The sequence below is a fragment of the Homo sapiens genome, chromosome 13 (assembly GCF_000001405.40).
Source record: "Homo sapiens chromosome 13, GRCh38.p14 Primary Assembly".
Taxonomy (NCBI): Eukaryota; Metazoa; Chordata; class Mammalia; order Primates; family Hominidae; genus Homo; species Homo sapiens.
This window is the reverse complement of record NC_000013.11, coordinates 60,399,059-60,426,520: the sequence shown is the minus strand read 5'-3', so window position 1 is coordinate 60,426,520 and position 27,462 is coordinate 60,399,059. Positions and strand designations below refer to the sequence as shown.

General features: G+C 37.1%; 1 protein-coding gene across 13 annotated transcripts in view; it reads right to left on the bottom strand.

Moving 5' to 3' along the window:
• The window catches only part of TDRD3 (tudor domain containing 3), a 178,347-nt gene that overhangs the window by 147,359 nt on the left and 3,526 nt on the right, over positions 1–27,462 (bottom strand). For 4 of the 13 annotated variants that reach the window (XM_047430681.1, XM_024449416.2, XM_047430683.1 and 1 more), the window contains exon 1: positions 679–16,440. The exons of the other annotated variants lie outside the window; for them this stretch is intronic. In XM_047430681.1, the coding sequence (XP_047286637.1) occupies positions 679–911 (233 nt within the window). In that variant the 5' untranslated portion in view covers positions 912–16,440. Of the gene's footprint in view, positions 1–678; positions 16,441–27,462 lie in introns of those variants that run through there. 13 annotated transcript variants of the gene reach the window in all.

The window sequence follows — 27,462 nt, the reverse complement described above, 5'->3', positions numbered from 1 at the left end:
AACATGATGTTACAGGATACATATAGATAGTAAAATAGTTACCATAGTGAAGCTTATTAACATATCTATCATCTCACAGTTACTTTTTGTGTGTGACAAGGGCAGCTAATATCTACTTATTTAATAAAAATCTCTAATTTTAATAACTTTAGTCCTCATGTTGTACATCTCTCAACTTGTTCATCCTACAGATCTATTTTTTGTCCTTGGACCCACATCTCCCCATTTCCTCTGCCCTCCCCACTGCCTGTGGTAACCACTGTTTCATTCTCTATTTCTATATTTGAGCTCTTTTTTGGTTTATAATATTGCACATATAAGTAAGATCACATAATACTTTTCTTTCTGTGTCTGGCTTTTTTCACTTAGCATAACATCCTATAGGTCCATTCATGGGTGAGAAACGGCAGGATCTCCTTCTTTTTAAAGGCTCAATTATATCCCATTGTAAATACAAGTCACCCTTGAACTCGGGTGTTAGCAGCACCAACCCCTGCACAGTTGAAAATCTGAGTATAAATTCTGACTCCCTAAAAACTTAACTACTAATAGCCCACTGCTGACCAGAAGCCTTACCAATAACATAGTCAATTAATACATATTTTGTATATGTATAATGTACTATATTCCTACAATAAAAAGAAAATGTTACAAAAACCATATGGAAAACATATTTACTGTTCATTATGTGGAAAGAGACCATCATTAAGGTCTTCATCCTCATTGTCTTCATGTTGAGTAGGCTGAGGAGGAGGAAGAAGAGGAGGGGTTGGTCTTGCTGTCTCAGTGGTGGCATGGTAGAAATCAAAGAAAATCCACGTATAAGTGAACTCACACAGTTCAAATCCGTACTGTTCAAGATCAACTGTATATACCACATTTTCTTTATTCATTTTTCCATCGATGGACATTAGATTGTTTCCATAGCTTGGCTACTGTGACTACTGCTGCAATAAACTTGGAAGTGCAAATATCTTTATGAGGTAGTGATTTCATCTTCTTTGGATATATACTCAGAATAGGGATTGCTAGGTCATACTGTAGTTCTATTTTTAATTTCTTTAGGAGTTTCCATACTGTTTTCCACAAGGGCTGTACCCATCTACATTCCCATCAACGGTGTACTAGGGTGTTTCTCCACACCCCTGCCAACATTTGTTATCTTGTATCTTTTTTGATAATAGCCATCCTTATAGGTGTGAGGTGATACATCATAGTGGTTTCAATTTGCATGTCCCTGATCATTCGTGATCTTGAGCACCTTTTCATACACCTCTTAGACATTTTTATGTCTTCTTTGGGGAAAAGTTTATTCAGATCGTTTGCCCATTTTTTAATCAAATTATTTTTAATGTATTCTGTTTCAAAGATGACTTCTCTTTGTTATTTCTTATTTTACATAGTTATGCATTTTTTCCTTGAATAAGTTAGCTAATGGTTTGTCTATTTTGTTAACTTTTTCAAAAACACCAAGACTGTTCATCCGATAAATGAATATAAACAAAATGTGTTATTTCCACACATTGTAATATTATTGTCATAAAAATAAGTGAAGGAATGATACATGCAGCAACATGAATGAACCATAAAAATGTTATGCTAAATGAAAGAGGCCAAACATTAAAAGCCACAATCTGTATGATTCCACTTATATGAAACGTCATATAAAAAAATCCATAGAGACAGAAAGCAGATGAGAAGTTGCCAGGGTCTAGGAGGAAAGGGGAATGATGCCAATGCATATCGGGTTAAATGTTCTTGAATTAGATAGTAGTGATGATTACAAATCTCTGTGAATATACGAAAAGCTACTGAATGATATGCTTTATTTTTATTTATTTTTTCAGACAGAGTTGCCTTCTGTTGCGCAGGCTGGGGTACAGTGGCACAATCTCTGCTCACTGCAACCTCTGCCTCCTGGGTTCAAGCAATTCTCCTGCCTCAGCCTTCGGAGTAGCTGGGACTACAGGAGCATCCCACTATGCCCAGATAATTTTTGTATTTTTAGTAGAGAAGGGGTTTTGCCATGTTGGCCAGGCTGGTCTCGAACTCCTCCCTCAAGTGATCCGCCAACCTCAGCCTCCCAAAGTGCTGGGATTACACGCGTGAGCCACTGCGCCCAGCCAGAACTGTACACTTTAAAGAGGTGAATTTTTTTCTGTGATTTATAACTCAATAAAGTTGTTTTTTAAAAACCACTGTCTGGGGGCGGTGGCTCACGCCTGTAATTCCAGCGCTTTGGGAGGCCGAGGTGGGTGGATCACGAGGTCAGGAGATCCAGACCATCCTGGCTAACACAGTGAAACCCCGTCTCCACCAAAAATACAAAAAATTAGCCGGGCATGGTGGCGGGCGCCTGTAGTCCCAGCTACTCGGGAGGCTAAGACAGGAGAATGGCGTGAACCCGGGAGGCGGAGCTTGCAGTGAGCCAAGATGGCGCCACTGCACTCCAGCCTGGGCGACAGAGTAAGACTCCATCTCAAAAAACAAAAACAAACAAACAAAAAAAACCACTGCATGGCCAGGGAGAGAAAACATCAGGATTTTGGCTTATTTGCTAGATTTACTGTTTTTCTATTCTTTTGCTCATCAATTTCTGCTTTTATAGTTATTATTTTTCTTCCTTTCTTTTGACTTACCTTGATCTTTTTTAGTTTCGCTGAAAATTTAGTTCATTTATTCATTTTATTAATAAAAGCAGTAAAATAAATTTTCCTCTAATCACTGCTTTAAATATACCACATAAATTATGATATAAAGTGTCACTGTCATTACATTTTTTTACAATTAAATACACTTAATTGTATTTCTCCTTTTACAATTTTTTAAAATACTTTTTAAAAAGTTGTTTAGTCAAACTTTTTAATTTCTAGGTGAAAGGGCTTGTATTTGGTTTTGTTAGTAAATCCTAGTTTTAGTCCACTGTAATCAGAGTGTTTATAATAGTTCTACTTTATGGAAGTTATTAATGTTTTCCTTATGACATAATATATAATCAGTTTTTGTGAATGTGCCATAGGCACTTAAGAAAATGAGTATTTTCTCTTATCGAGGTATAGCATTCAATATACAGTATACCCAGAAGATCAACCTTATTGGCTATATTGTTTACATCTTCTACCTCCTTATATTTTGTCCACTTAAATCTATCATTACTAGTAATGAAAGCAGTATAACGAAGTATCCTGTTACTGGTATGTTTCTATGTATGTGTCCCTGCAAACTCCTGAAGTTTCTGTTTCAGAAAGCCAGTTGCTCTATCTCTTGATGCATAAAAGTTCTGGTATGATGAAAACTATTTTTATATGGCCTTAATATTTAAAAAGCAGCTTGGCTAGATATAAAATCCCAAATTCATACTTCCACTGACTTTTCTTTGAATGCTGCTCTATTTCTGCCTTGCTTTATATATTGGTTTTGAAAAGCTTGATGCTACTATAATTCTTTTGCTTTTATTTGACTTGTTTCATGTCGGTCCTAAGGATTTTATTATCTTAATAATCTGATAATTTTTAACTGGGATATGTCTTGGAGTTAATTGCTGTGGATTAATCTTTCATTGCACTTGACATACTTTCAATGTGTGGATTTACATCTTTTTCCATCTGGAAAGTTTTCTTGAATTATAGTTTTAGATATCAGCTCTTTTCAATTGTTTTGGTTTTTTCCCCTTAGGGACTCAAATAAAACAAATATTATTCCTTCCTTGACTTGAATATTATTCCAAAGGAATAATATTCGACTACTTTCTCTCTGACATTTCTTATTTAAATTCTCATAGTTGTTTTTCTTTCTTCAATGCTCCTTATCAATTTTTCATTCTAGTCCATTTTCCCTTGGGTATCTTGTAATATATTCTTTATTTCTAAAATAATTCTGATATTTTCTTCCATTTCTTTCCAAAGCTCCATCAACATTTTCCCCCATTTGTCCCTGTTTATTGTCCACTTCTGTCTTTAGTTTTTTAATTTCTGACTCAAGTGATTTTTCATACTTCCAAATGCTCGTTGGAGTAAATTTAATTCTGTTGGAGTATGAACTTAGAGTTATAGTTCACGGTTGTTTTGGGGAAAAAGAATTTTCCTAGGTTTGCGTGCAAATTTGTTTCCTGATTTAGAAATATTTTGTTCATTTTTGTGACATTGGGCTGTTTTACAATATTTCTAGTCCAATGTCACCCTTTCCTACCAGTCAATCCATGCTATATACTTTAATGAAGTGGTTGGTTTCATTAGGGGGCATATTATGAATCCTCCACCTGTGTAGTTCTATTTTGTCTCACAGGGCCTTAATTTTTCCCTTTTCCTTCTTTTCCTCTTCATTATCCAATTGCCAAAGGAAACGCCTTCCCTCCTTTTTGTTTCTTTCTCCCCCAGAAGCTATGCATTTCAAAAATTGAACCCTTTAAATCGTACCTATTCTTTGAAATCAGACTTACCCATTTAAATAGAATCTATCCCTTTAATTCACACACCAATTCCTTTATATGGCATGTGTCTATTTTAAGTTACATGCCTGACCCACTGTTTTTCATCTGTTTCTTTCTGGCCCTTTACTTGGCACCTGTCCTTACTTTGAAATATCTTCCTAATAAGCCAAATTTCTTTATTTTTCACATTTAGGGTGGATTTGATCTTTCTGGTGGTCATTCCTACCACCCTCCAGTCATTTCATTTGCATCTCTCCTCTGCTTTTCTGTAGTTTTTTTCGAGGTCTGCCTTGGATCACCAAAGCCCCACAAGTGGGACAAGATTGGCACAGGAGTGTGTGGAACCATGGGGCTGGCTTTTAACTTTTTCTTTTTACTCACAGGTCTTTGATAGTTTCCACATTCTCTGTGCTCACATAAGGTTGAGAGCATTGTTTTACACAGATTTTGCTTAGGTGTGAAGTCATCCGTATAGTTTGGGGGAAAGATTTTGGGAAGTTATTTACTACACTGCCACCATTTTCTAGTTATCATAAGTCCTAGTAGGATTTTCTTCAGCAAATAGACAAACTGATGTTAAAATTCGTATGTGATATGGTTTGGCTGTGTCCCCACCCAAATCTCATCTCGAATTGTAGCTCCCATAATCCCCATGTGTCACAGGAGGGACCCAGTGGGAAGTAATTGAATCAAGAAGGCAAGTTTTTCCTATGCTATTCTCGTGATAGTAAGTAAGCCTCATGAGATCCGATTGTTTTATAAAGGGCAGTTCCTGTGCACATGCTCTGCTGCCTGCCACCATGTAGGATGTGCCTTTGCTCCTCCTTCGTCTTCTGCCAAGATTGTGGGGCCTCCTGAGCCATATGGAACTGTGAGTCCATTAAACCTCTTTTTTTTTATTAATTACCCAGTCTCGGGTATTTCTTCACAGCAGTATGAAAATGAACTAATACAATATGGAAACGCAAATGCTCAAGAATTCCCAAATTAACCTGAAAGAAAAGATGAGGGCTCACACTAATTGTTATCAGTACTTATCATAAAGCTTCATTAATCCAGACAGTGTGATATTGGCATGAGGACAGTCAAATAGAATAATAAAACAATATAGACCCACAAAATACGGTCAACAGATTTTCTTTTTTTTTGAGACGGAGTCTCAGTCTGTCACCTAGGTTGGAGCACAGTGACGTGATCTCGGCTCACTGCAAGCTCCGCCTCCTGGGTTCATGCCATTTTCCTGCCTCAGCCTCCCGAGTAGCTGGGACTACAGGCGCCCGCCATCACGCCCGGCTAATTTTTTTTGTATTTTTAGTAGAGACGGGGTTTCACCATGTTAGCCAGGATGGTCTTGATCTCCTGACCTCATGATCCACCCGCCTCGGCCTCCCAAAGCACTGGGATTACAGGCATCAGCCACCACGCCCAGCCTGGTCAACAGATTTTCAATCAAAATGCCAAGTCAATCCAATAAAGAAAATTTTTTTTTACAAATGTCACTGAAATACCTGAATATCTGTATAAAAATAAAAATAATACCATGCTTCTTTCCCACTCCACAAACCAACATAATTTGATCATATACTTAAATATAAAACCCATATCATACAGCTTCTGGAAGCAAGCATAAGAAAGTACCTTCACAAACTTGAAGTAGGCAACAATTCTTGAACAGGACATAAAAAGCCCTCATTATAAAAGAAAAAAAAAACTGATAAAATTGATCTTGACCAAAATTAAAAATATTTAGTCATCAAAAAATATCATTAATAAAGTAAAAAGGCCACAGATTGTAAAAAACATTCATAGCATATGTATTTTAAGACTCATATCTAGAACATATAATCAACTCCTACAAATCAACATTAAGAAGTCCAACAATCCAATTTCTTTTTGTTGTTGTTGTTGTTAGGTAAAAAACATTAACCTTTATGGAAATAATTACAAGTAGAAAAAATCATACTTCTTATACACTGATTAACTTGATGTAAATGATATCTATCTTCTAAGTCTATATTTGTAATATTAATAATCTAGTATATCTATCATTACATGATGTATTACATATAAAACACATAACCACAATAATTATAAGAGAGATGAAAATACCTTTTCATCTCTTTTTGTCTTCTAATATGAAATATTTTTACTTATAGGAAAAACATTAAAAATAATTTTTAAAAATTCCTGCTCACACCACCTAGATTTTTAAAATATTAGCATTTTACCATATTTACTTTAGATTATTCCTTTTCTTCCTTTCTGCTTTCATCCATCTATTCTTTTTTTTTTATTTTACTTTAAGTTCTGGGATACATGTGCAGAATGTGCAGGTTTGTTACATAGGTATACATGTGCCATGGTGGTTTGCTGCATCTATCAACCCATCATCTAGGTTTTAAGCCCCACATGCATTAGGTATTTGTCCTAATGTTCTCCCTCCCTTTGCCCCCCGCCCCCACAACAGGCCTCAGTGTGTGATGTTCCCCTCTCTGTGTCCATGTGTTCTCACTGTTCAACTCCCACCTATGAGTGAGAACACATGGTGTTTGGTTTTTCTGTTCCTATGTTAGTTTGCTGAGAATGATGGTTTCCAGCTGCATCCATGTCCCTGCAAAGGACATGAACTCATTCTTTTTTATGGCTGCATAGTATTCCATGGTGTATATGTTCCATATTTTCTTTAGGCTATCAGTGATAGGTACAACAATCCAAATTCTTAACGGACAAAAGACTCAAATAGATACTTTATGAAGAGCTAATAGTCACATTAAAAAGTACTCAACATCTTTAGCCATCAAGAAAATACACATTAAAACCACAATGAGATACCATTTCACACCAGATGAACGGCTAAAATCAAAAGGACTGAAAATAGAATATTGGTGAGGAAGTGGAGAAACCAGATCTCTCATACACTGTTGGTTGGAGTATAAAATGTCACACCCACTTTGGAAATAAACGTTTGGCTGTTTCCTATAAAGTTAAACAAAAATGTGCCCTATGGCCCAGCAATTTCACTCCTAGATATCCTCTAAGAGAAATGAAAACATATGTCCACAAAAAATACTTATAAATGAATGCTCCAAGCCTTATTCATAATAACCAAAAACTGGTTATTGTCTATCAAAAGGAGAATGACCAAACAAATTATGGTATACTCAAACAGGAACTACTACTCAACAATAAAAAATGAACTACCAATACAGACAAGAATATGAATGAATCTCAAAAGCATTATACTTCTAAGATGTCAGAAGAAATAAGGTTTCCATTTTTATAATATCCAATTACAAGATAGTGAATTCATGATGCCAGATGTCAGAAAAAGACTATCTGTGGGCACAGAAGGAACAGAGCAGGAGAAAACTTTCTTGGGTGATGAAAACATTCTATATAACATTTAGAATGGGGGTTACTTAAACGTACACAACTATCAAAACCTATCATGCTAAACACTTAAGAGCTGTGCATTTTAATGTACATTAATTGTGCTGCAATTTAAAAAGACAAGTCCATTCAGTTTATTTATTCAATAAACATTTGTTGAGTCTCTATCTACTCTGTGGCAGACACTGTACTAGTCCCAAGAATTCAAAGATGAAAAAACCATGGTACTGACCTCAAATAAGTTTAGTCCCAGTGAAGCTTGGTTTACTTGAGGAGACAAACATATAAACAATTATAGCACAATGAGCTAGAGACAGAATGTTAAAGGACCTCAGAAGAAGGGTACCTACTTTCTATCAGGGAAGACTTCTTATAACAGATGACAGTTATGTTTTAAAATGATGGACAATAATTAACTAACTTAAATGGAGAAAAAAATCCAAGCAGAAAGGACAAGATCAGAAATGGTACAGTGGCAGGACATAAAATACCATGTACATAAGAGACCCACAAGCAAGTTGGTCTTGTTAGAGCATAAACTGCTGGAGAGGTAGGAGCAAAAATGGATGCCACAAAGAAACAAGAGGCTATGCATACCTTTGTAAGACAGACTTCATCCTGTAGGTGACAAAAGATCTAAAGATTAGACAACCTTTATAGATAACTCATTCTAACACCTATAGAAAAGACAGATTTGAGACAGTAAGCAAGAAGACCAATCAGGAGGCTACTCTCAAGAATAAAGGCCTGAAGTAGAAAAATATTTAGAAGGTAAAATTGGCAGGTCTGATTCTTAATTTAGATATGAGTGAATAGGAAAAAGAAAAAAATGACTCATGAATGGTGAGATGAGTGTACCACCTCTAAAACAAGAGTGTAAAGAGAAGAAGAACTTGGGAGATGGAGGGGAAGAGAAGTACAGTGAAAGGCATGAGGAGTTCGAGGTGCCCCTGGGATACCTAGTTCGAATTGTGCAGAGTATTTCATATATAAGGCTGTATTTTGAAGTTCAGGCCCAGAAAGATTTAGGAATCATCAGTATATAGAAATTAGTTTAAATCGGCCAGTGTGGCGGCTCACACCTGTAATCCCAACACTTTGGGAGGCCGAGGCAGGTGGATCACCTGAAGTCAGGAGTTCAAGATTAGCCTGGCCAACATGGTGAAACTCCATCTCTACTAAACATACAAAAATTAGCTGGGCATGGTGGCAGGAGCCTGTAATCCCAGCTACTCAGGAGGCTGAGGCAAGAGAATCACTTGAATCCAGGAGGCAAAGGTTGCAGTGAGCTGGGATAGCCTCCAGCCTGGGCAACAGAGTGAGACTCCATCTCAAAAAAAAAAAAAAAAATGAAATTAGTTTAAATCATGAAAGCAAATGAGACTGGGTCAAGTACAATGGCTCACACCTGTAATCCGAGCACTTTGGGAGGCTGAGGCAGGAGAAGCCCTTTGAGGCCAGGAGTTTCAGACCAGCCTGGACAACATAGCAAGAGCCCATCTCTACTAAAATAAAAAATTGGCCATGTGGGGTGGTGTGTGCCTGTAGTCCTAGCTACTTGGGAGGCTGAGGTGGGTTTATCACTTGACCCAAGGAGATTGAGGCTGCAGTGAGCTATGATTATGCCACTGTACTCCAGCCTGGGCAGCAGAATAAGACCTGGACTCAAAAAAAAAAAAAAAGAGAGAGAGAGACTGATCAGTTAAAGTCAGAAGAACAAGAAAGTGGACCAAAGATAGAACTTTGTTAGTACCAATAAGGAAACTAAGAAAAGCCAGGGAAAGGTATGATAAGAATATCATAAAAAGACAACGAATGATGAGAAAGGAATGAAGAGAACAAGAACAAGATGAGGAGAACAGTGTTAGGGGAGACAAGGAATAGTGAATTTTAAGACACTATGTCTTAACAGTGAATTCCAAGATAGACATAAACCGTCCAAAGTAACAGAGCCAGTAAGGAAAAATTTGAAAGATATCTCACAACTGGAAGGTCACTGGTACTTTAGCAAAAGCATTTCAGCAGTGTGGAAGAAGCACAAGCCAGACTGTAGCAGACAGCCCAAAGAAACAGTAGCTATAAGTAAGACTAATGCAAACAAATGTGCACATGAACACAGTCATACATGTGCTAAACATTACAACAACAAGAAAAGGCATTCGTAAAATATTTTCTTAAAAAAGGAAACTCAGATTTTGGAGAAAAAAGTCTTGCTTAATAAATATCTACTTGGTAAATGAATGTTTTAAATACAGCTTCATTCACATACTGCTTTGGAAATAGCACTAAGAATGGAATTAGTAGTTGACCATATCAGCTCAACTGATCATGGGAAAGGTAAGAGCAAGTATCACCATCTTTCAATAATCACTGTTTTGTAAATCTGTTCTTAAAACTTCCTTAGTTAAAAAAAAAATCTCATTAGAAATTTAGACTAAGAACTATATTATGAGTACTTCCACATCTTCCTCTAAAAATCTTTACACTTTACACTTAGAGAAACCTTAATTATTGAAAAGAGTCAGTGAAATCATAAAGTGGATCATTTTTGCCATGATTTGATATTGTACCATGTTAAATCTAAAATCAATACCTTATCAACTTCCAAAACACAATTTTTGAGCCATCCAACAAAGTTATTAATTCTTAAGCAAAGGGTATTTTAAAATGTCCAACATTAACACTAATAAACATTATTAACTGATTCTATTTTTAAATAGGGGAAGGAGACAAGTCAAGGACACTGACGGCCAACCAGAGTTCTCCCTTTCTTCACTTTTCCTTAAGAAAAAGATATATTGATGAAGTTTGTCTCTAAAGAATGTTTTTCCGTAAATTGTCTTTGCTTGAGCCTTGATCTCTTCACCTATCCTTGAAATAAAGGCCAGAACTATCTTTGTAAACTTGGCAAATCTGATCTTTTCATGGCTCTTATTTAAAACTCAATAAATCTCTGGACATGGTAGTTCCCGGAAGATCCATCAAGGCATCTGTACAAAGCTTGCCCATTTGAGAAAAGAAAGCAATTTTATTTGCATACATCTTACAATTTGATATTAATCATGTTTTACAGAAAAATTAATGTACTCTTCAAAATTCTCATATTCTTTAAGTGTGTGAATGAGTTATAAAGATTGCATTGGTCTGTTTAGTTAGCTAACATTGAGGGCCTAGTTTTCCCAATAATGGCATTTGCCTATTATTGCTTACATTTGTTAAATGAGTATGTTTGCTTATTACCAATATGTTAATTATAGTCCTGATACACCCAAGTGGTTGGCTGAAGCGTAAAGATTCTGATGAAATAGTAATGTAATCAGAATAATATAATCTGATAATAAAATAATAATATAATCAGAATAACATCAAAAATGAAAATTGTGCACTGGATCCCGGTTGATATGAATGTCCACAGAGTGGAATTGGTAATTCTCAAAGTTTCAGAACACAAATCTAAAAAGGAAAAATATGAATGAGAATGGCAATGAATATTGTAAAACAGGATCTCATTAGGCCCTTCATGCCTAGTTCCCTAAACACTGTTATAAAACATCAATCTTGGTCAAATCAACACATGAATTTTTTTTTCATAAGTTCAATTTCTTATATAAAATAATCAGTATGCTGATGACCAATCAGTTTAATTTAAATATGATTGGCTACCAAATATATTTTGATATCTAAGAACAAACTCCTCCTATATTTTACTCAAGACTGATGTGTTTTAACAGGTTTTTCAACCTCATATTCACCCTTTTCCCTCTGTTTAAGCAGTACTGATTTTATTTTTTAAAAACAAAAACAGAAAAAAAAAACCACTGTCTGTTGTCTAGGTATTCTACAGAATCCAAAAGTTGTCCAAGTGTGATAGGAATGCTCAATTGAAACCAATGAAGGATTTCTATCTGCCCTAGGATATAATGGAAAGTTCTATTAAAATTAGTAGACCATTTCAAAACACCTGATAACTCTGTATTTGACAAAAAGCCCCCACTGCAAGTACTGACACATTCCTATCAAATAGTTAGGATTTACTAATTTATGAGGCAGCCCTATTCATACTAGTCACTACAAATAAGGATAAGAACAAGGATTGTGGTTTTCTTGGCAAGTTATTTTTGACAAATTCTGGTACCAATAGCATATACTACTTGTTCCAACTTCAGTTTTTTCTAAGTAATAAAGAATTAATATATCTATTTTACTAATTACTTAGGGCAGAGATTGGCTAACTTTTCCTGTAAAGAACCAGATAGTAAATATTGCAGGCTTTCCTACAATATTTGATTTCTGTCACAACTACTCTTTGCTCCTGTAGCACAAAAGCAGCTACAGACAGTAGGTGTATGAGTGGTTCTGGCTGTGTTCTACTAAAATGTTATTTACAAAAACTGGTAGCAGGCCAGATTTGGCCCACTGGTCATAGTCTGCCAACTCCTTAGGATAAAGCTATATAATCTTTCTTTCTTCAAAAACTAGATGTAATAGACATGTCCTTCTCTCAAAAAAAATGTATCTGGACTTAAAAAAAAACGTACATTGTCTCACAAATTTACATATTGCACAACTGGTTCCACACATTTAATTTTTGAGGAGGGCAACACATTATTCTTTAAGTGAAATCCTTATTTATAAAAATATAAGGCAAATACTTAATAACAATGCAACATTTCAACAAGAATATGAAAATACCTCCCTTCAGCTGAGACTTAAGTTCATGTCCATATTAAGAGACTGAATATTGACAGTTTCCTCTCTCAAATTTCTATTCTTCCTGTACAAGTGAAATAATGTAATATTATGTGAAATATTCTACCTGTACCTTTTATCTTTAATTTGAGACACTAATATTTATAAGATTATAAAATGCTAATGGTATGATATATATATTTGAGATTAAAAATCCATAAGATATAAAGATTTTATCTTTATTGAAGTAACACTCTCACAGGCTATATAAGGTAATCTAAAATAGAGTAAAGGGCATCAACTTTTTCCAAAGGTGACACAAGATCAGAAATTCATGTGTGCAAGTAACATGAATGTATTTAACTGACAACACTAATTTAAGTGAGTCCAGTCTTGACATACAACAGCAAGAACATTAAGTATTTACTGGGCATTCAGCATATGCCAAGCAGTATTCTAAGCACTTTGTGTGTATTAACTTATTAATCCTCCTAACAATACTATGAAGTAGGTATAATATTGACACCATTTTATAGATAAGCAAACTGAGACATGAGCAGTTAAGAAATGTGCCCAAGGTTATAGCTAATCTGTGGCAGAACCAGGACTGATCTCAGCTCAGGAGAATTGGTCTTCAAGAGCCCATGCTCGTAAACACCAGCCATACAGCTTCTCAAGCAGATATATATCTAACTGAATATAAAAGGTACATGGCAGTGTTTTTGTAACTATTTTTTTCCTCAGTAATCTCTCACAATAATTCAGTTTTGTGATGAAATTCTAATTAATTATAATTAACTAATTCTAATATAAATGTTTATTCAAAATCATTTAATTTACACATCTCAGTTTCAAACACAAAGTGATTCAAGCTTTTGGGCCCATTCCTTGGCAGCATTTTCACATGCTAACTTCCTGTTGACCTATTAGTTCATATATATTGGGTACTTAGGCAAAAAAAAAAAAAATTGGGAGTACAGGGATACTGCAGGGAATACCAGGCAGGCCGTAACAGCAAAAAGCAAGTTGAAAATAACAAAAACATTCAGTCAAACATGAGCCTGTATTTCAACTTTTAAAGTACGCATCTTAGATATGTAGAGATCTATAATCATATTTTACATATACTTTTGCTTAAAGCATTACTTTAAGCAAATGTTTAAGAATAATGATAAGCAATTTAATTTACACATGAAATGAAAGCTACTGCGATAAGGTAAACCATTTTAAAAGACCACTAACAGTCCAATTCAATTTTATTTTCCATGAAAACATGTCAAGGCAAGAATAATAACAAAAAAAATCAAGCAGTTGGCCAATATAATGGCCCAGATAAGTTTCATAACACCAATTCAAAACAAATACTAATTAATAACTAAAAGTATAAGAAAGTTACAAAATACATAAAAAGAAGGCATCATTTCATTAAAAAAGCATCCATTTCTTGATGTGTCATACTAGTTATCAGCATGATTAAACCAACAAGGCTTGTAATCCCTTTTTATAAGCAAATACAGTCCATACTACCTACTATTATAGAATGCCATATAATGTAGGGAAAAGGGCTTTTCAAGCTGAAAAGTCCTTACAAACGTAAGATTATCACTAAAAATAAGTGATATCACTATTTTTTAAAAAGTAGAAGAATATTAAGTAAACTAAATCAAAAAGTATCAAAGGCCAAAAAAATAGAGCCTCATTTACTCACACCAATTCACTCAAATTTACCGTAAGCTGAACAATATCACTGAATGAAAAATTCAAATATGTCAAATATGACCTACTTCAAGTGTGGTTCATGGATTAATGCCAATCCACAAACTCTGTTACTGTCACATGATTGGATATGTACAGAAACTTTTGGAGCAATCTCACACTACCACAAGGTTTTACAGTTTATAAGATTTAACTAGTTGTTTGTTTGAGAGTCACTGAGCTAGGCCACAGTTCTCAGAATCCCTTTCAGGTAGATGTCAGATTAAAGTTCTTAGAAACCAAGGATACGATGTCTCTCTTCCTCAGGGAACTGACTCTATGGCTCTCTGCTGTTCTTCCCATTCCAGCTAGGGAAACCCAAATTTGTCAGCTACTCTGCTATGACCATGAAGACAATGACAATACCCTAAAGTGCTGCTCCTCAAACCTTAATGTGCAAAAGAATCACTTTAATGTGCAATAAGATTCTTTAATAAGAATCTTACTAAAATTAAGATGCTGGTGAGGTTTGAGATTCTACACTTCTAACAAGCTACCAGGTGATATCAATGCTGCTGGCCTGTGGACCACACTTGGAGTAGCAAGGGGTGAGGGGACATCAAAGCAATAAGATGAAAGGAACCTGGGTCCTTAAATGACAGCACAAAGCAGAACTGTCTAACTATTTTGGGTTGTTTTGTGACCAAAAAAAAAGAAAAACCAAAAAAAACCTATGTTCTCCAGGCTTCTCTTACATCAGCCTAGCCTTCAACCTAATTAAGGCAGGGCATTTTTTTTAAGCATTGGAAAAATGTAGCTCAGGCCAGTTTCGTATTTAATCTGCTTTTGCATTTTGCTTAAAATAATATCAAAATAAATGCTTATTCACATAAGTAGAAACTAGTAAAAATGTCAAGGCTCTGTTGAACTTTCAAGATAATCAAACTTCAGTAGGCACACCATAATTTCTGTCATGTATTATTTAAGTATTAAGTCCATTCTCATTACCCTGTAACTGTAAAAGTATATACCACTACACTGCACTCTTTTCTTCATGAATTTTTAATTCAACTTGTTAAACTCTCAATTTGTTAAGAAACTACATCTAATTATATGAGAGTGTCTTTTAATTGTGAACTATCATAGCTAACTAAGTCTTTATAACTAGTAGAAAATTTAATGAGTACTATGGCAGGTGTCTGTGTTGCAAAGAGCAGCTAGATATGTTTATTAACAAAGTTAAATATTTTGGGTGGCCACTTTGCACTAACAACAATGTAAACACAGGCACAAAAATGGTCACTGAAATTTCATGGTACTGTACAGCCATTATGTTTTTAATATACGCATATACAAACTTTCATTATGTATCAACTTTACTAGGGAAACATCTAATTAATATGTTTATAAAGACTTTTGATGAATGAGTAATTAAACAGGGAAAAAACATAAAACCAAAGCAAAAAATCCACAACCAGAAAAGGCAGTCAAAAAATTTATCAGCAACAACCAAAATAAGGGAAAACGTACATCCAGCTCTTGCACAACTTCAAAATGTAGCAACCAAAGAAGATTCTCATGTAGCCTGAGAACTAACCCTACCCTATCCATCCCCAAGAAGCAAAACTGAGGAAAGAAGTCAAATCAAAACGATCCTGAGAAATCTCATTATTACTCAAATTAGAACATACTAAGGGAATCAGCAGGCAGCCTAGAGAAAAGATCGTGGCCAATTCCTAGGAGTAGAGGCCCCTGAATATCAACTTGCACTCTCAGCACAGACACAAAGGGTTGCCAGTACTTGCCATTCTGAGTACAGTGAACTGAGCAAGGATACTGAGGAGCCCATTTTACATGCTTTATGTCCTAACAGTAACACATACACGTCCTTTTTGGTGCTCATAATTGCAAGATAACAAGAGTAAACTCTGTTTAGCAGAGTCCTCAGGTAAAACCCCAGTGGACTTGAACTCTATGACAACTTAGACTGCAAGATACCTAGATTCCTACTTCTTTGCCTCATTAAAGGCCCTAGCATGAAATATAATTTCATCATCTTAACTCCTTTCTAACTGAATATACTAGACCATTTTCATGCTACTGATAAAGGCATACCCAAGACTAGGAAGAAAAAGAGGTTTAACAGGACTTACAGTTCCACATGGCTGGGGAGGCCTCAGAATCATGGTGGGAGGTGAAAGGCACTTCTTTCATGGCGATGGCAAGAGAAAAATGAGGACGAAGCAAAAGCAGAAACCCTTGATAAACCCATCAGATCTTGTGAGACTTATTCACTATCATGAGACTAGCACAGGAAAGACTGGCCCCCATGATTCAATTACCTCCCCCTGGGTCCCTCCCACAACACGTGGGAATTCTGGGAGATACAATTCAAGTAGAGGTTTTGGTGGAGACACAGCCAAACCACATCATTCCAACCCTGGCCCCTCCAAATCTCATGCCCTCACATTTCAAAACCAATCATGCCTTCCGAACAGTCCACCAAAGTCTTAACTCATTTCAGTATTAACCCAAAGTCCACAGTCCAAAGTCTCATCTGAGACAAGGCAAGTCCCTTCCACCTATGAGCCTGTACAATCAAAAGCAAGCTAGTTACTTCCTAGAGACAATGAGGGTACAGGTATTGGGTAAATACAGCTGTTCCAAATGGGTGAGGTTGGCCAAAACAAAGGGGTTACAGGGCCCAGGCAAGTCTGAAATCTAGTGGGACAGTCAAATTTTAAAGCTCCAAAATCATCTCTTTTGACTCCAGGTCTCACATCCAGGTCACACTGATGCAAGAGGTGGGTTTCCATGGTCTTGGACAGCTCTGCCCTTGTGGCTTTACAGGATACAGCCTTCCTCCCAGCTGCTTTCACAGGCTGGTGTTGAATGTCTGCAGCTTTTCCAGGTGCACAGTGCAAGCTGTCAGTGGCTCTACCATTCTGAAGTCTGGAGGACAGTGGCCTTCTTCTCACAGCTCTACTAGGCAGTGCCCCAGTAGGGACTCTGTGTGGGGGCTCCAACCCCACATTTCCCTTCTGCACTACACTAACAGAGGTTCTCCATGAGGGCTCTATCCCAGCAGCAAACTTTTGCCTGGGCATCCAGGCATTTCCATACATCCTCTGAAATCTAGGTAGAGATTCTCAAACCTGAATTCTTGACTTTGTGCCCCCACAGGCTCAACACCACATGGAAGCTGCCAAGGCTTGTGGCTTCCACCCTCTGAAGCCACAGCCCAAGCTATATGTTGGCCCCTTTCAGCCAAGGCTGGAGTGGCTGGGACACAGGGCACCAAGTCCCTAGGCTGCACACAGCACAGGGACCCTGGGCCCAGCCCACGAAGCCACTTTTTCCTCCTGGACCTCCAGGCCTGTGATGAGAGGGGCTACTGTGAAGATCTCTGACATGGCCTGGAGAGACATTTTCTCCATGGTCTTGGGGTTTAACATTAGGATCCTTGCTACTTACACAAATTTCTGGAGCTGGCTTGAATTTCTCCCTAGAAAATGGGTTTTTCTTTTCTATCACTTAGTCATGCTGCAAATTTTCCAAACTTTTGTGCTCTGTTTCCCTTTTAAAACAGAATGCTTTTAACAGCACCCAAGTCACCTTTTGAATGCTATGCTGCTTAGAAATTTCTTCTGCTAGATACCTTAAATCATCTCTCTCAAGTGCAAAGTTCCACAAATCTCTAGGGCAGGGGCAAAATGTTGCCAGTCTCCTTGCTAAAACATAACAAGAGTCACCCAGTTCCCAACAAGTTCCTCATCTCCACCTGAGACCACCTCAGCCTGGATCTTATTGTCCATATCACTATCAGCATTTTGGGCAAAGCTATTCAACAAGTCTCTAGGAAGTTCCAAACTTTCCCACATTTTCCTGTCTTCTTCTAAGCCCTCCAAACTGTTCCAACCTCTGCCTGTTACCCAGTTCTAAAGCTGCTTCCACATTTTTGGGTATCTTTTCAGCAATGCCCCACTCTACTGGTACTAATTTACTATATTAGTTCTTTTTCATGCTGCTGATAAAGACATACCTGGGACTGGGAAGAAAAAGAGGTTTAATTGGACTTACAGTTCCACATGGCTGGGGAGGCCTCAGAATCATGGCGGGAGGTGAAAGGCACTTTTTACATGGCATTGGCAAGAGAAAATGAGGAAGAAACAAAAGTGGAAACCCCTGATAAACCCATCAGACCTCCTGAGACTTATTTGGGCTTACAGTTCCACACGGGTGGGGAGGCCTCAGAATCATGGCGGGACGTGAAAGGCACTTCTTACATGGCGGCGGCAAGAGAAAATGAGGAAGAAACAAAAGCGGAAACCCCTGAAAAACCCATCAGATCTCACGAGACGTATTCACTATCACAAGAATAGCATGGGAAAGACCGACCCCCATGATTCAATTACCTCCCGCTGGGTCCCTCCCACAACACATGGGAATTCTGGGAGAAACAATTCAAGTTGAGATTTGGGTCGGAACACAGCCACACCATATCACTGAAGTGCTAAGCTGTAAGCAATTCTGAAATATCAAAAAGAAAAGAATTTGTTGCTATCTCATAAAACATCAAATGTGAAAGAAATAGTTCTGAAAACAGTTTCTACTAATATTACCTTGAAACAGAACATTTCAAAGACCCTAAAGAGACAGCTGGTTGTCTCGGGCAAAGAAATGTTATCAACATATTTCAAACTTTTCTTCTAACTAAATACAAACATATACCTTTAAGTGTATTATCTTCATTATCACTAGTTATATCTCTTAACAGTTGAATTCTATAAACAAGGTAGAAAATATCAACAAATAGAGAAAGCTTTCTATAACAGGCTATTTCCTGCATTTCTGAGGAGATCACATTTTTCATAACATTTTGTTTAAATTTCACAACATTCATTTCAGAAATAACAATTTTCTACTCTACAAAAAGCTTGAAGAAGTTTCATGTCCCTTGAGGACACAAAAGCAAAATGATGAATGATACCAAGACCAACTAAGATGAGAGTAACATTCATTCCACAAGTATTTAAGTGTCTACTGTGCACCTTACATCGTGCTAAATGCTTGGAATACTACAAAAATATGAAGACTTGATCTTTCCCTTACAGAAGCTTACAAAGTCATAAGGCATCAATCAAACTATCAATGTTATGGACACCTAAACTTAACATATGTCCCTATTTCTCTCTCAAAACAAAGCTTGAACTGAGTCAATTCCAAATTCATTATAAAATACTGGCTTAATTTATTTAGCAAGTTTTTCCATCAATACTTACATTTATTATTTCACATTAGGTATTTTACAAAATCCACCTTTATTAATTTTTAAACTCTTCATGGTCCCACTTAGAAATTTAATAAAATAAAATTTTGTTTTCTTAACATCTTCATGTAATATCCATGACAGACTGCCTTCTGAAAAGCTGCAGCTAAATTTTATTTGTATTTTATATATTTAGAGGAATTTGGGGAAAGATTGTGGGGAATTTTTTAAAAGACTTTCAGATATCTAAATTTATAAAGAGTGTTTTAAAAGGTGCTCTGAGTCTCCAATATCAGCAAGTCAATAAACTAACAGTGACCATATCAAATAGTCTTATCAAAGAACTCCAAAAGATATGTCCATTTTCTGTTCTTAGAAAACTCAATGACTTTATAATGCATTCTAAAGCTTTTTCCCCTAACTAGCAGGTCCTTAAAGGCTAATTCTCCTCTAAAAATGCTAAAATTTCTCAGTACTTGAACCTAGCCTCTTACTCAAAGCTTGGTTCTTACATCAGTACTGTCCAACAAATATAATGTCCACATATGTAATTTTAAATTGTCTTGTAGCCATATTTTAAAAAGTAAAAACAGGTGAAATTAATTTAATAATTATTTTAACAAAATATATTTTAAAGTATGATCAATATAAAAATTACTGAGATCCTTACACTCATTTTTAGTACTGTCTTCCAAATTCAGTGCGTATTTTACATTTATAGCACATCTGAATTTAGACTAGACATATTTCAAGTGATCAGTAGCCATATTTGTCTAATGTCCACCATACCGGACAGCTGCAGCCTTAGATGATCTTATCCATGCACCATTTCAATCACCACCTATACTGGAATGACTCCAAATTTATCTCTAGCCCAGTCTTCTCTTCTGAGTGCAAGATTGGTATTTCCTAATGCCTAACATCTTATTTTAGATGACTTAAAGGGACCTCACACTCAAGTAATGACCAACTTAACTCATGACCCAACCCCCAAAAATGCGACCGTCTTCTAACAGTCCCTAACTGAATTGTAATTGATTTGAGGATACAAGTCCAAAACCTAGAAATCAAGCCTTTAACAACTCCTGTGTCACATTCATGTCCAATCTGTCAAAAAGTCCTGTCCATTTACCTTCCAAATATCTGTCAAGTCGATCTGCTGCTCTCTATCTCAACCATCACCATCTATTTCATAGTCCTGCCCAGCTCCATTTTCTTCAGTCCAAGGATACTTCAAAACCATGATGTTATTCCCACCATAACCCTCACATCATGATTAAAACTATTCAACTGATTCCTATTGCCTTCAAAATAAAAATAAATCCTAACATGGCCAACAAGGTCCAAGCTATGTGACCTGTCCCTAGGTAGCTCCTAATTCCATCTCACTACACTGTCCCTCTGTCTTGCCCTCTAGCCACCCAGGTCCTTCAGATGTTTGTATTCACCATGCTCCCTAGTGCCCTATGACTTTTGCAGATGCTGTGCTCCCCTCACTTAGTCAGTTACCACTCATTCTCCAGATCTCAGGATAGCATTCTCTGACCACCATGAAAACACGAACTCCCCTTTAGTAATTCTGCTATTCTCTGACCACCATGAAAAGGCTAATTCCCCCTTAGTACATGCATTTGGAATGATGTCTCTTCTCCTCTCTAGTATTCTTTATAGATGCAGTATGTTTGAATATGTAATTAATGGGTTTTTTTTCTATAAGACTATATCTGACTATACTAAGAAAGTGCCTGCCACAATATGCTGTTTAAGAATTATTTGTTGAGGCTGGACACTGTGGCTCACATCTGTAATCCCAGGACTCTGGGAGGCCGGGACAGGTAGATCACTTGAGGTCAGGAGTTCAAGACCAGCCTGGCCAACATGGTGAAACCCTGTCTCTAATAGTCCTTTTTCATGCTGCTGATAAAGACATACCTGAGACCGGGCAATTTACAAAAGAAAGACATTTATTGGACTTAACAGTTCCACATGGCTGGGGAGGCCTCACAATCATGGCAGATGGCAAAGAGGGACAAGCCACATCTTATGTGAATGGCAGCAGGCAAAAAGAGAGCTTGTGCAGGGCACCTCCCATTTTTAAAACCATCAGATCTTGTGAGACCCATTCACTATCACGAGAACAGCATGGGAAAGACCCATCCCCATAATTCAATCATCTCCCACCAGGTCCTTCCCACAACATGTGGGGATTATGGGAGCTACAAGATGAGATCTGGGTGAGGACGCAGAACCAAACCATATCAACTAAGAATACAAAAATTAGCTGGGTGTGGTGGTGGGCACCTGTAATCCCAGCTACTCAGGAGGCTGAGGCAGAAGAATCTCTTGAACCTGGGAGGTGGAGGTTACAGTGAGCCAAGATCATGCCACTGCACTCCAGCCTGGGCAACAGAGTGAGACTCTGTCTCAAAAAGCAAACAGGGCCGGGCGCGGTGGCTCACGCCTGTAATCCCAGCACTTTGGGAGGCCGAGGCGGGCGGATCACGAGGTCAGGAGATCGAGACCATCCCGGCTAAAACGGTGAAACCCCGTCTCTACTAAAAATACAAAAAATTAGCCGGGCGTAGTGGCGGGCGCCTGTAGTCCCAGCTACTTGGGAGGCTGAGGCAGGAGAATGGCGTGAACCCGGGAGGCGGAGCTTGCAGTGAGCCGAGATCCCGCCACTGCACTCCAGCCTGGGTGACAGAGCGAGACTCCGTCTCAAAAAAAAAAAAAAAAAGCAAACAAACCAACAACAACAACAAAAACGAATTATTTGTTGAATGAGTGCATTGATGAATGTGCCTTGTTTTTTCCTTAGCCAAATATCAGAAGACACAATATTTAAAGAAAACATATACAGTGCCTTGTTTTTTCCTTAGCCAAAGAGCACAAGACATGATATTTAAAGAAGACATATACAAAAACCTTGCTTATACATCATCAGTACTGGAAAGGCTTCCAACCTTCCCAAGTCTGGGTTAACTGCTCTCAGATGTGTTTCAACAAAATCTTGCAAGTAAAATAACAGTGTATATCATGTTTAAATTCTGCCTGTCTTGTACATCATAGCTCAGCAACACAGTGCTTTGTGTACAGGAGGTATAAATATTTACTAAATGTATTTCAGTGCACATATTATTGTATAGAGTTACATATTTCTCTGTATATGCCTTACTTATTATTGTAAAGATATTATAATTCAAGAGCACTATACTGCTATTTGTCTCTACTTTTAAGGCCATAAAATTGTACTACATGTGAAAAGTACATACACACACTCACATCCATCCAATAGAGATGTGAATCCTATTGGAGTTCCAGTGCTATGGTACATATAGGCTCTCTGTCTATGCAGTTCTTTCCTCCTTTTGTCCATCACCAACCTGTTTCTTTTCTGCTATCAGTGTCTTTGATTTCACACCCTTCTTAATACTTTACATTATTACCATACATTTTTGCCCCATCTTGTTTGCTTTTCTTTGCTGTGCTATGACTTCACAAGTGTTTCTCAAATTTTTACATGAAAATTTCTGGGCATTCAGTATTCTTCTTCCAAAATTTATCTGGCAATACTGTTCTTCGGCTACTTCTATATCCTAGACCTTTCAGAAAGAATGAATTTCTAGACTGATGGCACTTAACTGAAACATGATAAGTCAAAATGCCAATATTCTTTTGTCAAAAGGAGAAAACATAAGCCAAAAAAGTTGATATAGTCATATTTTTATGGTTCTTAAAATGTTACTATGCAATTTTAGTTGATTTAGCAAATGCTGCTGTATGAAAGGAGAAAATTATTTTCAACCTGCTGAGGTAGCAAGTTTCTTTTTATACCCCCTTTATGCTTAAGGCAGTCAAGTCTACAGGCAGTTGAAACTAGATTTATAGGTTAGTCACCAGAAAAAAAAAAAAAATCACTGCAAACAGCACCTTGAAACCTGAACACTTGCACAGTTTAACAAAACATCCAGTCATTTTTCGCAGTTTACAGTATCAGCAGAAGCTGTAAAGCAATATGTAACATATTTTGAGACAGAAAGTCGGCAAGGCTTATTACCTTTGAACATTTTCATTTCACAAACAATATAAGCCAAAGAGATAGTTACAAATGTTCATTAAAGAAATAGAAAATATTTCAAAATAGAAGGATGTCTCCAATAAGCTCCACTAAAATCTGATTAAAAAGCAATTGGCTAGCCAGGCGTGGTGGCGCATGCCTGTAATCCTACCTACTTGGGAGGCTGAGGCAGGAGAACCTGGGAGGTGGAGGTTGCGACGAACCAAGATCGCGCCATTGCACTCTAGCCTGGGCAACAAGAGTGAAACTCCGTCTCAAAAAAAAAAAAAAAAAAAAAAAGCAATTGGTTTCCTCTAATGTTCTTCAGCATCTAAAAAAGTGTTTTAATGATTCGAATCCTTTCCAAAAGAGTATACCAAGCTATTTATATCTGCCTGTCTTGTACATGTGACTTACTTTAAAGGCCATGAAGCATGGTAATTAAAGGTATATCATAATTCTAGATTTTAAAAACCCTGCACTTAATATTAAACCTTATAAAGAACTACCAATATTCTCTACAAATATTTACCTATTTCTAAGAGATGTACTGGAATGGTGAGGGAGCAAAACTTCTAATACCCTCTTATTATATGCATAAACTCATATTTTATGTCTATTACCACTAGTATAAGAAGGTATAATTACATTACTGCTACTGCAGAGGTTGTACTGATGCTGCTACACAATGTTTCTCATCTGAAGAGTGAGATCATTCACCAGCAATCTCCTGGAAAAAAGGTGTGTCTCTAAGAAAACTAGAACCAAACAAACAAAGGCACAGCAGTGGCTGCAGGCTGGGTATCTGAATTTCTTAGTCATGATCATTAATGTGTTTGAGAAGAAGCCTCTATGTAATGGAATGTGAAAAGAAGCCCTTCATCTGTGGACAGGTCAAAAACTAGGAATTAGAAATTCCAGCAAAATATCCTGAAGTTGTTCCACATCTTTGTAGTAGCTATCTTCAAAGTAATGTGGAATAGAGTGGGCCCTTGAATACAAGAGTGCAATAATCACTTTATAACCTATACTGTCATTATGCTTCTTATTTTTTTCTATTTATCCCATGGTTGTTTTCCAGTTCTACATTTTGACAAAGACCTTAATAAGCTGTAGGCTTTCTTAGTTGTTCAAAGGTGAAATGAAGGGAAAGGAGTTATGTATGCACTTGGGCCAGAGGATGTTAGCATGGTGATAGCACCAATAATCAAATGGAGATAACCCCAAAGGGGAAAGTGAAATTCAAGAGGTAAGAAGGAGACCTTTGTTTATCCTCTCCATCCCATCTCTGCCCTCAAAACAAACAAACAAAACAAAACCTGGAGTACTCCATGGCTAACACCTGGGTGTTAGAAAACTGGGCTTCCTAAGACTACATGTTCTTTCAGAACAAAATGGAAATGCTATTTCATATGCTACCTTAAAGGGTCTTCAACTCAAACTACTGGGTAAAAGAAGCAAAGACACACAATACAGTGTCCCACTTTTTCAGATACAGTCATCCCTCAGTATCCATAAGGGATTGGTCCCAGGGCCCCTACAGATAACAAAGTCTACTGATGCTCAAGTCCCTGACACAAAATAGTGTAGTGTAGTATTTGCATATAACCTACACACATCCTCCTGCATACCTGAAATCATCTCTAGACTACTTAAAATACCTAATACAGTGTAAATGCTATGTAAAATTATATTTTATTTTTTATTCATATTATTTTTGTTGTTGTATTGTTATTTTTATTTTTTTTTATTTTTCCAAATATTTTAGATCTGTGACTGGTTGAATCCAAGGGTGCAGAACCCACAGATATGGAGGGCCAACTGTATTCTTAAACCTTAAAAAATACAGAATTTACCAGATTTTCAGATAAGCCTAGTACACAATTAGTTGATTCACTGCAAGGCAAAGATTTATTTGATTCTAATAGGATCACCCCTCAGAATAAGCCCTTTATCTTTCCTGGACTAGGAAAGTAAATTTACACACCACAAAATGCTTCAACCCAATTTTCAATTTTTAAATGTGTCACTTTTGATCAATAATTTAAATTAGATGCGGTCACTTCTGTTAATTTTTGGTGGAAATGAGTACTGAATCTTTATTCTAGACATCTGGGCTCTATTCTTGGTTCTGCCATTTATAACTCTGAGCAAATTATTGAAACTCTCTGTGCTTCAGTTTCTTCATATGCACAGAGAGAGAGTTAAGCTATGCAACATTAATTCCATGGAAGACACTTTTTTTTTTTTTTTTGAGACACAGTCTCGCTCTGTCGCCCAGGATGGAGTGCAATGGTGCAATCTCGACTCACTGCAACCTCCGCCTCCTGGGTTCAAGCGATTCTCCTGCCTCAGCCTCACCAGGTAGCTGGGATTACAGGGGCCTGCCACCACGCCTGGCTAATTTTTTTGTATTTTTAGTAGAGACGGGGTTTCACCATTTTTGCCAGGCTGGTCTCCAACTCCTGACCACCCGCCTTAGCCTCCCAAAGTGCTGGGATTACAGGCATGAGCCACCACTGCGCCCAGCCAGAAGATACATTTTCAAAAACAAAAACACAACTGATTAGGTACCCCGTGACAGGTTTCTGTTAAAAACAAACAAACAAAGGAGGAGATGGAAGAGAAAAATTCAAAATGTCCAGAGATCAACATTTTGAATCTTTCTCCTGTGAGTAGAATTTTATATTTCCACTCACAGTGATCAGGGATATCATCCTAAAGGAGAATGAACCTCTGAAGAGAGAAAACAAAAATGCAGAGTGAGTAAAATTGTTATCTAGATAAATTCAGAGTCAAATTTCTTCTCCCCGTGAAGTTATTCCATGCATATAATTAAGCTTTACAAGGTACCATTTAGTGCATTATTTAAACATTATCACTACTCTGTAGAAAGCCCTGGAACATTCAAGTTCAAATCAGCAAAATCTAATAGTTTGTGTGCTACTGGCCATTGAAGAACAAAAATTATTTTAAGTCCGCCAGGTAGCTACTTTTGAAGTTATATTTTAAAATACTGATTTTTATAGGGGTTCTAATGAAGATTAAAACCTTAAGAAGGAAAAAAACTGCGCTTAAAAATAATGTAAACTTGAACAGATTGGTCTACATAGATCTTCTGTACCCCCCTGAAGATCACATTTTCAGAATTGTAAACTTTTCAGCACTAAATATTTCCCTAATCTGCTATTTTAGGTGAAGCCTATAGAACAGATTTAACAATAGTGTGTCCATGTTTTAGCATCTACTTCTTTTTAGCTTCTACAAGTAACTAAGTACATAGATTTGAATACTAAGAAAAATGGTTTGTCAGTGACAGTTAACAGAGAACCCCAAGTGTAAGAGCAAACTCAGGATATAAGAACTAAAATGAGTTGGTGAAAGCCCTTCAGTCAGAAATTTTCCCTCCAGTGCTCTTTTCTGCCTTTAAACCTTTGTGATTCTAAATTTTAACATAGTAAGTCCCCAATTAAAGACCTAGTAGAAGCCACCTGAAAGCCTAGGAGATCCTCATGCCTAGTCTGTTCGAGACCTAGCAGGAATTACATGAAACTCACAATTCCTAGAAAGATAGTGTTTTTAGCCCCGCAGATTACTACTGCCTTTATGAGTCACTGCCATACAGAAGCAGCACAGACAGGTGGGAGAAACATAAACAGTTAAGTTGCAATATAAAGTAGCAAATGCTACAATATAACATTGCTGAAGATTTATAACAATATAACGAAGCAGGGTGGGACTCTACCTAAGCTTCTGCAGAGGCCCTGCCCAGAGAATTCTGACTGGCAGGGGCATTCCAAGGTCAACTGTATTAGACTTTACAGAGAACCTACAATCTGGTGCATTTCTTGACAATCCAGATAAGGAGAAAAATAAGACTCACTTCCCTGCCCTGGAAAAGCATAAGAGGCCAGAGAAAACAAAGTCAACACG